The 8,733-nt window shown below is 56.6% G+C and overlaps 2 protein-coding genes across 11 annotated transcripts, besides 11 other annotated features; both read left to right on the top strand.

Moving 5' to 3' along the window:
• Positions 162–271: a silencer, noted in NCBI's record as "silent region_8094". NCBI's record gives its function as "represses an Ori minimal core promoter by ATAC-STARR-seq in GM12878 lymphoblastoid cells {active_cell/tissue: GM12878}" and the evidence as "EXISTENCE:reporter gene assay evidence [ECO:0000049][PMID:35858748]".
• Positions 664–1,215: an enhancer, noted in NCBI's record as "H3K27ac hESC enhancer chr17:7145477-7146028 (GRCh37/hg19 assembly coordinates)". NCBI's record gives its function as "activates a minimal SCP1, AML or CMV promoter by ChIP-STARR-seq in primed H9 embryonic stem cells {active_cell/tissue: H9 hESC(primed)}" and the evidence as "EXISTENCE:reporter gene assay evidence [ECO:0000049][PMID:30033119]".
• Positions 862–1,051: a silencer, noted in NCBI's record as "silent region_8093". NCBI's record gives its function as "represses an Ori minimal core promoter by ATAC-STARR-seq in GM12878 lymphoblastoid cells {active_cell/tissue: GM12878}" and the evidence as "EXISTENCE:reporter gene assay evidence [ECO:0000049][PMID:35858748]".
• Positions 924–3,365, top strand: GABARAP (GABA type A receptor-associated protein). Its single transcript, NM_007278.2, has 4 exons — positions 924–1,132; positions 1,694–1,772; positions 1,913–2,031; positions 2,454–3,365. The coding sequence occupies exons 1-4, from the start codon at positions 1,043–1,045 to the stop codon at positions 2,517–2,519; spliced, it is 354 nt and encodes a 117-aa protein (NP_009209.1). The 5' UTR covers positions 924–1,042; the 3' UTR covers positions 2,520–3,365.
• Positions 1,216–1,767: an enhancer, noted in NCBI's record as "H3K27ac hESC enhancer chr17:7144925-7145476 (GRCh37/hg19 assembly coordinates)". NCBI's record gives its function as "activates a minimal SCP1, AML or CMV promoter by ChIP-STARR-seq in primed H9 embryonic stem cells {active_cell/tissue: H9 hESC(primed)}" and the evidence as "EXISTENCE:reporter gene assay evidence [ECO:0000049][PMID:30033119]".
• Positions 2,545–8,335, top strand: PHF23 (PHD finger protein 23). 10 transcript variants are annotated; one of them, XM_047436728.1, is made up of 5 exons: positions 2,545–3,787; positions 5,713–5,744; positions 5,896–5,988; positions 6,807–7,443; positions 7,533–8,335. In XM_047436728.1, the coding sequence occupies exons 1-5, from the start codon at positions 3,742–3,744 to the stop codon at positions 7,745–7,747; spliced, it is 1,023 nt and encodes a 340-aa protein (XP_047292684.1). In that variant the 5' UTR covers positions 2,545–3,741; the 3' UTR covers positions 7,748–8,335. The 10 variants fall into 10 exon arrangements, with proteins under 10 accessions (XP_047292684.1, XP_024306706.1, NP_001271446.1 ...); XM_024450938.2 differs by having other exon boundaries at positions 6,606–7,443; NM_001284517.2 differs by lacking the exon at positions 2,545–3,787 and adding an exon at positions 3,916–4,127.
• Positions 3,449–3,538: an enhancer, noted in NCBI's record as "active region_11605". NCBI's record gives its function as "activates an Ori minimal core promoter by ATAC-STARR-seq in GM12878 lymphoblastoid cells {active_cell/tissue: GM12878}" and the evidence as "EXISTENCE:reporter gene assay evidence [ECO:0000049][PMID:35858748]".
• Positions 3,649–3,788: a silencer, noted in NCBI's record as "silent region_8092". NCBI's record gives its function as "represses an Ori minimal core promoter by ATAC-STARR-seq in GM12878 lymphoblastoid cells {active_cell/tissue: GM12878}" and the evidence as "EXISTENCE:reporter gene assay evidence [ECO:0000049][PMID:35858748]".
• Positions 3,649–4,315: a biological region, named in NCBI's record as "H3K27ac hESC enhancer GRCh37_chr17:7142377-7143026".
• Positions 3,666–4,315: an enhancer, noted in NCBI's record as "H3K27ac hESC enhancer chr17:7142377-7143026 (GRCh37/hg19 assembly coordinates)". NCBI's record gives its function as "activates a minimal SCP1, AML or CMV promoter by ChIP-STARR-seq in primed H9 embryonic stem cells {active_cell/tissue: H9 hESC(primed)}" and the evidence as "EXISTENCE:reporter gene assay evidence [ECO:0000049][PMID:30033119]".
• Positions 3,839–4,018: a silencer, noted in NCBI's record as "silent region_8091". NCBI's record gives its function as "represses an Ori minimal core promoter by ATAC-STARR-seq in GM12878 lymphoblastoid cells {active_cell/tissue: GM12878}" and the evidence as "EXISTENCE:reporter gene assay evidence [ECO:0000049][PMID:35858748]".
• Positions 5,169–5,648: a silencer, noted in NCBI's record as "silent region_8090". NCBI's record gives its function as "represses an Ori minimal core promoter by ATAC-STARR-seq in GM12878 lymphoblastoid cells {active_cell/tissue: GM12878}" and the evidence as "EXISTENCE:reporter gene assay evidence [ECO:0000049][PMID:35858748]".
• Positions 8,659–8,708: an enhancer, noted in NCBI's record as "active region_11604". NCBI's record gives its function as "activates an Ori minimal core promoter by ATAC-STARR-seq in GM12878 lymphoblastoid cells {active_cell/tissue: GM12878}" and the evidence as "EXISTENCE:reporter gene assay evidence [ECO:0000049][PMID:35858748]".

Below are 8,733 nucleotides of genomic sequence, written 5' to 3'. Positions count from 1 at the left end.
AGGATGGGCGCGCTGGTGGGGAGTGGAAGGACACCTTCGGAGAAGCAGGCTATGGAAGCACGAAAGGAGAAACCGGCTATGGAAGCACGAAAGGAGAAACCTGGACGGCCAAAGGGCGTAGAGCTGGAGAAACCGGGCTTCGTCCGGGGCACTGACGTGGACAGGTTAAGCGGGCGCTGCCCCCAGGTGGCTGGCGCCCCGACCTCCGCTGTCCGGGAAGGCGTCGGTCCCCCTCCCAGCTGTCGCCCAGCCGGCCCCGCCTCCCCGGCGCCCTCCCAAGCCGGCCCTACTTCGCGCACCCGCCACGTGACGCTCCGCCCTCTTTGAGATCACATGATTTAACTCAAGTCCCGCAGTGTTCCTCCGCGCTGGCGTAGTCCCTACCTTTCCAACCTCCTCTCCAGTCCCTATTGGTCTACTCATTTTGGCACTTAAGCGTTCTGTAGATCTCTCCAAACATCTGTTTTCTTTTTGACTTCTTATTTCTGGAGATCATCTCCGCCACTTGGGTACTACTTTGTTTTGGTGTCAACGGCCGCCTTCAGCGTAGCAACACGGTTCGTGAATAGCTAACCTTGTAATTGTCCCTGCTGTTCCTCTACGTTGTTAACGAAAGGAACTTGGAGAACCAAGTCTCGTATGATGATTACCATCTTTTACTCCTCTTCAGCCCCAGCTTCCTTGAGGGGACGGTTGGGGAATAGGTTTAGAGTAATTTTCGATGAGCAAAAGCCAACCGTCTTTGCTACGTCGCCTGCGTAGCCCACAAATTGATTCCAAAGCGATTACGCTAATGGCGTGAGGGGGCCGGTCAGTTGGTGGTGCTACGCTAGCAGCGTTAGCGCCGCTGAGGTAGTGGCGTATCTTAGCGGGGGGGGCAGTCCCCGATAGTCGGGGGCGGGGTTGGTGAATAGGGAAGTGGCGCAAATTCGTGGATCGCTCCGCTGAATCCGCCCGCGCGTCGCCGCCGTCGTCGCCGCCCCCCGTCCCGGCCCCCCTGGGTTCCCTCAGCCCAGCCCTGTCCAGCCCGGTTCCCGGGAGGATGAAGTTCGTGTACAAAGAAGAGCATCCGTTCGAGAAGCGCCGCTCTGAGGGCGAGAAGATCCGAAAGAAATACCCGGACCGGGTGCCGGTGAGGACAGTAGCCAGGGCCGAGGGCGCGGGACGCTTACGCTGACGCCACAGCCTGGCCTTGGATCGGGACAGGCAGCGCAGGGATCAGGCTGCTGGCTGTGGTGGGGTTGGCAGCGAGCCTGAAACTGCTGTCCTTGGGACCCAGGATGAAAGGAGTGGGGTAGTGGTGGATGTGGGGTTGAGAGGGATGTGGACAGGAGAGAGAAACCTTAGCATTTGAGGCCTTAGAGAGTTTGACAGCCTGAGCTTCAAATGGTCATCCCCCCAGCTAGCTAAGGTTGCGAGATTGAATCACTAGTCGACCCAAACAAGTCACCTCCGTCTGATTAAGATAGTTGTTTATGGTGACGCCCTATTGGGGGATGGATCCTGGATATTTAAATGAGCTCCAGTCAGTGAGGTCAGGATCTCTGGGACTCAGTGCTGCACCGCGTGTACAAAGACAAAGAGATGAATCTGGGGTAGATTTAGGTGCTAGGAATATTGTTTCTTGAGTTCTTGACAGGTGCAGCTTCGGGGCTGCATTCCTTCTGTCTCCTAATTTTCATCTCTTTATCAGGTGATAGTAGAAAAGGCTCCCAAAGCTCGGATAGGAGACCTGGACAAAAAGAAATACCTGGTGCCTTCTGATCTCACAGGTGGGAACCTGATCCAAGACTCAGGCTTGCTTCCTGTGGGTGGGAGTGCAGTCTCTGCGGGAGGAGGCTCCACCTAGCAGCTGTTCTTTTGAGGGCATTTTTGACCTCTGTGACTTTCTTGCATCTTGTATCTTTTGCAGTTGGTCAGTTCTACTTCTTGATCCGGAAGCGAATTCATCTCCGAGCTGAGGATGCCTTGTTTTTCTTTGTCAACAATGTCATTCCACCCACCAGTGCCACAATGGGTCAGCTGTACCAGGTATGGTGACTGGGAAGTGGTGGAGGCTTTGGAGAGGAATCTTGGAAGAGCGTGAGGGGAAGAAAGTGTTGTTACATCAGTAGTTTTGGACTAGCTTCCTGGCTTGCCTTAAAGTTTCATAATAGCCGTGGGTTGGGGGTTTGGACAGAACAGTAGGAGTAGAGAGAAGGAAAGAGAACAGTGAGCTAGAGAAACTATCTGTTCGGGACTCTTCCCAGTCCCCCTCCCCATTCCAAAGCAGCAGAAAACAGTTTGAGGCCTTTTTGCCCAGGACTGCAGAGATTATACTGCTCGTGTGGTAGGCCTTGGAGTCAGTGAAGGAGTCAGGCAATGGTTTGTGGTTCTAGAAGAACGTGTCTGGGTCGTGGTTGGTTTAAGTTACTGGAGCCCAGTTGCTGAACAGTTTTCTGCTTTCATCCCAGGAACACCATGAAGAAGACTTCTTTCTCTACATTGCCTACAGTGACGAAAGTGTCTACGGTCTGTGAAGCTGCTGCCCCTGAGCTGGAGGGGGGTCTCATTCTACAAAGAGAGAGGTGGCCCCCCTTTCTTGACCTCCTCCTCCTTCAAGCTCAAACACCACCTCCCTTATTCAGGACCGGCACTTCTTAATGTTTGTGGCTTTCTCTCCAGCCTCTCTTAGGAGGGGTAATGGTGGAGTTGGCATCTTGTAACTCTCCTTTCTCCTTTCTTCCCCTTTCTCTGCCCGCCTTTCCCATCCTGCTGTAGACTTCTTGATTGTCAGTCTGTGTCACATCCAGTGATTGTTTTGGTTTCTGTTCCCTTTCTGACTGCCCAAGGGGCTCAGAACCCCAGCAATCCCTTCCTTTCACTACCTTCTTTTTTGGGGGTAGTTGGAAGGGACTGAAATTGTGGGGGGAAGGTAGGAGGCACATCAATAAAGAGGAAACCACCAAGCTGAACTGAATTTTGCCTTGTGTTGCTCCCCTCGTCCCGCTGATTTTAAGTCTTTCCAAGGTGTCAGTGGGTTTCAGTGGTGGGGAAAGAAGAGTACTGGGTACAAGCTGGAGGGATAGAAGTATATTTTGGTTTATTCTGTTCATGTTGGGCTTTTCCCTGTCTGCAAAAAGAGGGTGCTTTTGTTGTGATGGAATGGAATACTGAGGATTATTTCTTGAAACTTTAGTTTTATAACACGCATGTGAAACTAAATGTTAAAAATGCTCATGTAAAAAAAAATTTTTTTTTACTGTGGGTTCCTGTGGAGAAAGTTCCGAAGTACCTGCTTTAGGTGAACATCCACATTTGCTAGAACATTCTAACTAAGATATTTTCATGTGTGCAAGCTAGTAAAACGGCTGTTCTCAGTTGCATGTCACTTGGCTAGACTTTTGCCGGTGTGTGGGATCCGGCAGAGTGGAATCAGGGAGGGAGAAGACTGGGAGCGGGAGCCATTATCGCCAGGAATACTTCAACTCCCAGCAATCATTTCTCCGGCAGGCCGGAAGTGGGGCGGTCCTCCTGGGGAGAAAGAAGCTGCAGAACGAGGCAGTATGGTGGCCGAGAGTTCTAATCCCTTCTTCCTCTTCTTTCTTGGTCCCGCCCAGCCTACATCTCCCAGGGGCCTGCGCGCGCACTTCCGCTCTCCCCTCCGGCTCCTGGTCTCCCCGCCGCTCCCCGGGGGAGGGGAGCGGCTTGGTGCGCCTGCGCCAGCCTGTGGCTTTCTGGGAATCAAAGTTCCGGAGGTTCATGCGGTCCCTTTTCCGCTGTTCCCGGACGGACTACAAAACCCTTGGTGCACTGCGCCTCGGCGCCGGCGGGGGGAGGAGGGAGAGAAGAGGAGGGAGGGAGGAGAGAGGAGGTGGAGGAGGAGGAGGAGGGAGCAGGCGGCCGGCGGCGCGGGGGGAGGGGGCCCGGTCCGGGAGTGCGGGAGGCAGTGGTAGAGGGAGGTGGCGGCAGCGGCTAGCGGACTCGAGTCTCAACCGGGCTGAGGCGGACACTTCTGTGGAGCGAAGCAGTGGGAGCATCGAGCACTAGAGGCGGCACCGGGATCCCCGGCTCCGGGGAGGGGGGCGCCGGACCGGGAGGAGGGGAGGGGGCGATGCTGGAAGCCATGGCGGAGCCCAGTCCCGAAGGTGAGCTCTCGACCGGTGCAGAGCGCTGAGCCGGCGGGGGGCGGGCGAGGAATCAATTGGCAAACTTGGAGGTCGAGCCCCGGAGCCCAGCGGGGGAGTTCGGGGAGGGGGTCGGGAGGCTGGCCCTGGAGGTGGGAGAGCGACGAGTTGAGAGACCTTGGAGAAAGAGGAGTGGGAAACTGGGCTGGGGTAGTTGGAGATCAGACGGTGTGGGGGTGCGGGGGATAGGAGCTTGAAACCCGGAGCCTCGGGGGTTAGGGCCCGAAAGGGCCACCGGCAGATTGGGGCCCTGGAACTGGAAGGTTAGGGGAATCCAGTGGCCGGAGAGTTGCTCAGGAGGGAGGACGTAGAAGAGGCTGAGTGAGGGGCCCGGTAGTTCGCCGAGGTGGGGTAGTTTGTGGCGGTGGTACCGGAGCTCCGAGTAGTTGCCGCCGGAGAATGCCCGGTGATTGTCGGAGAGGTGGGCAGGTAGTTGTGGGGAGAAGAGGGGGTCTGGGTATTGTCTACGGCAGACGGACCTGTACCGGGGGGTAGTTGTGGAGAGAGCGAGCCAGGAAGCGAGGCGAGCTGGGTAGTTGTAGGGGGTGGTGGGGCGGGGTGGGGGGGGTTAAGACCGGCGACTTGTCGGGCGGGGGGGTAGGGTTGGTCCGCGAGGGTTAAGAGCCTGGGAGTTGCTGAGGGTGAGGGGGGCATCGGCGGCAGCAGCGGTGGCTGCTGTGGAGAGAGAGAGAGAGTGGCTGGTTGGGGGGAAGGGGCCAGAGTTGAGGGGTCCATAGCCTAGTAACTGGGTGGTGAGTACGGGGGCGGAGGGGGGGGCGGCGGCCGGAGAGGGCTAGGAACAGGGCCGGGGGGCCCGGTGGGGAGCCCGAAAAGCTGGAGACGGGGAGGGGCCAAAGCCCCGGATGGGGGCGGAGGGACGGCGAAATTGTGGGGAGCGCGGTATGGGCGGGGGGGGGGGGGCAGGTGGGGGCCGCGTCCGGGTTAGAGCTCCCGGGTCTGTCCCGGCCGTGAAGTAGCGTTGGATGCGTGTGCCTGTGTGTGTCTGGGGTGGGGGTGAGGGGCGCGCCGGGCCGCGTGCTCGAGTAGAAGGGGCCGGAGGGCGGGGAGCGGTTCGGCGTGGTCATCCTGGACCCTGGGGGCTGGCGGGCGGCGTGTGCGGTCTCGGAGGGCCCGAGGCGGTGGAGCGCGGCCGGGTAGGAACTCGGGGCTCCGGGCGCGTGTGAAGGACGGGGGCGGCTGGCGGCGGCCCGGACGCGGCCCCGGGAGCGGTACGGTGGGGTGGGGCGCTGAGGGATCCGAGTAGACTGGAGTCGAGAGAGACCGTGAGTTGGGGGGGCGGGGCGCCGGGCCTCCGGTTGGGGGAAGGGGAGCGCTATAGCGAGGCCTCAGAGGGCGCCGCGCCCAGGCTCCGCCCCTCGCGGGGCGGAAGGGGGAGCCGGGGCGGATCCAACACAGCTGGGGGCCTGCTGGCCTGGCAGAGGGACCTGGGAGAGCAGGGGGTTCACTTAGGAACAACGGGGTTTAGAGGGGGAGTTTTACACAGATTGTTCCTAGTGTCTTGACTCAGCTTTTATTGCTTTTCCAGATCCACCTCCGACCCTTAAGCCAGAGACTCAGGTGAGGTTTGCCTTACCTTTGCAGCCTAGTAGCCCTGCCTGACAACGCCCCCCGCCCCCCTTTTCTAGACCTCACTTAGGGACTGTGTTTCTGGGAATGCCATTCTTAAACTGTGTGGCTTTGCATGTGATCCATATCTCCTTCCTTTCAGCCACCAGAGAAACGGCGGAGAACAATTGAGGATTTCAACAAATTCTGCAGTTTTGTTTTGGCATATGCTGGTTACATTCCCCCTAGCAAAGAGGTAGGGGCAAGAGAATTACTGACTTGAGGCTGGTGTGGTGGGACTATAGAGTGACTGTTGTTCAAACAGAACTGTATTGCTTTATAGAAGGAGGCCCTTAGAAATTATATGTAAGACCAGGGAAGTTGGAGACTCTTAGGGCTGTGGTAGGAAAGCTGGTATGCGGGGAGTGGATGGCCGGGATAGCTAGCTTGAACAGCAGTGAAAAGGAAGGGGGATTTGGAGTCGCTGGTTGAGATTTTGGCATAGTCTTGAGGTGCTGTGAATGGAAGGTGTTTATGGATAAATTTTAGGGAGATGAAAATGGTAACAAATGAGGCTATACAGAAAAAGAGCTAAGGACATAACGGCTCCGGTCTGGGTGATACAGTGTTCCACAGGCCCTGGGCAGGGGCAGCGGTGAGGTGTCAGACTTGAGGGTAGAGGTAACACGGACTGGTCAAGAGGACATGCTGATGGGAATTGGGGTGGGGAGAAGTTTTTGGAGTACAGTGGGATTTAGTGGTTGAGGTAGGACATTTTGGGGTAAATCCAGTCACTCCTTTTCAAGCTGGGTTTGTGGAGGGGCTGAGATGACACTGGGGTTCTGCTGACCCTGGTCTCTTCCCCCTTTTAAGGAAAGTGACTGGCCAGCCTCTGGCTCCAGCTCTCCATTGCGAGGAGAGAGTGCGGCCGACAGTGATGGCTGGGACTCGGCCCCCTCAGATCTTCGAACCATCCAGACTTTTGTTAAGAAAGCAAAGTCATCCAAGAGAAGGGCAGCTCAAGCAGGTCCCACCCAGCCAGGACCCCCAAGGTCCACTTTCTCTCGTCTGCAGGCCCCCGACAGTGCTACCTTGCTTGAGAAGATGAAGCTCAAGGACTCTCTCTTTGATCTGGATGGGCCCAAAGTGGCATCTCCTTTGTCCCCCACATCCCTGACACATACCTCCCGGCCCCCTGCTGCTCTTACCCCCGTGCCCCTTTCCCAGGGGGACCTCTCCCATCCTCCTCGAAAGAAGGACCGAAAGAACCGAAAGTTGGGGCCAGGAGCTGGGGCTGGCTTTGGGGTGCTTCGGAGGCCTCGGCCAACTCCTGGGGATGGGGAAAAGAGATCTCGAATCAAGAAGAGCAAGAAGCGGAAGTTAAAAAAGGCAGAACGGGGGGATAGACTCCCACCTCCTGGGCCTCCCCAGGCACCCCCCAGTGATACAGACTCTGAAGAGGAGGAGGAAGAGGAGGAAGAGGAAGAAGAAGAAGAGATGGCAACAGTGGTAGGGGGTGAAGCCCCAGTCCCTGTGCTGCCAACACCCCCTGAGGCTCCTAGGCCCCCTGCCACAGTGCACCCTGAAGGAGTCCCTCCTGCTGACAGTGAAAGCAAGGAGGTGGGCAGCACTGAAACAAGCCAAGATGGAGATGCCAGCTCCAGTGAAGGCGAGATGCGGGTCATGGACGAGGACATCATGGTAGAATCAGGTGAGAGGTTCGGGCTGGGGCGAGGGGTTTGAGGGTGTTGTGGATCCAACAGCTCAGGCAGAATACCAAACAAACCTTTTTTTCCCCAGGTGATGACTCATGGGATCTGATCACATGTTACTGTCGAAAGCCCTTTGCAGGGCGGCCCATGATTGAGTGCAGCCTGTGTGGGACGTGGATCCACCTCTCCTGTGCTAAGATTAAGAAGACCAACGTCCCCGACTTCTTTTATTGCCAGAAATGCAAGGAACTGAGGCCAGAGGCCCGGCGGTTAGGGGGGCCTCCCAAATCTGGAGAGCCCTGATGGCACCAACTTTAGCCTGGAACTTCCAAATGACAACATGATTTGGGAACTGAGCCTCAGGGTCCTCAGCCTATCCCCTGGAGCTTGGATACTGTCTGCACTTCAAGGCAGGAATTCTCAAGGGAGACTTGTTTGAAAATGAGTGTCTCACTTTCCCACCCTATCCTTCCTCCCCACTCTGTGGACTTGAAATTGAATCCATTACGGTTGGGGATGGGAGGCTGTCTGTGTCCCGACACATAATCTCTGTCTCTTGGACCTGCCACCATCACTTTCTGGGTCAGGATTGGAATTGGGATGGAATGGGACAGTTGTCTATAAAACTCTAGTGTAAATATTAGCACTCCCCTCCCTCATCTTTTCTTCTATTTCACTCCCCATTTATTTTCTTCTACACCGGTTGTATTTTTAATTTTGGACTTCCCCTATTGGGCATGGCAGCTCAAAGGTGGAGTACTAGAGCCTGGCCAAGTGAGGAAGGAAAGCAGAAAGGTGACGATTCTCACTCACCTCTTTTGTTTTTAATAATATCGGCCGCTGTTTGTACAGACAGCCTGCGTGTTGTAAATAAAGCAGAGTGGGCTCTTTTGTGTTTATAGCCCTCACTGTCCTGCTCGGGAGGGAGGCTTTGGTGGCTGAAGACTAGCTGGAGGTGGGGCTGAAACCCACGTCTCAAAGTCCAATCTGAAGATATCACAGCACTGGGCCTTTCCCACCCCAAGACAAGTAAGCCACCTTAGAGCTTTCATTGTATTTGGCCCTCCCCACTCGAGTCTAGGAACCCCCACAGTCCCCACCTTCACTCCCTGCACGCACACTCCTGCGGGTCAGAGTTGCTTCGTGCTCCATCGTGGGTGGGGTAAAGCGGGGTGGGAGCCGATGGTCCGTTTCCTGAAGGCACAGGCCAGCTTAGCCTGGGTGCTCAGAGGACCTCGGCTGGGGTACACGTTTGGGGGCTGGGAGACCGTTGCTGAAGGCAGCGATCA

The sequence above is a fragment of the Homo sapiens genome, chromosome 17, assembly GCF_000001405.40.
Source record: "Homo sapiens chromosome 17, GRCh38.p14 Primary Assembly".
In the NCBI taxonomy this organism is placed as follows: Eukaryota; Metazoa; Chordata; class Mammalia; order Primates; family Hominidae; genus Homo; species Homo sapiens.
The sequence above is the reverse complement of the archived record's forward strand: the minus strand, read 5'-3'. Positions and strand labels throughout refer to the sequence as shown.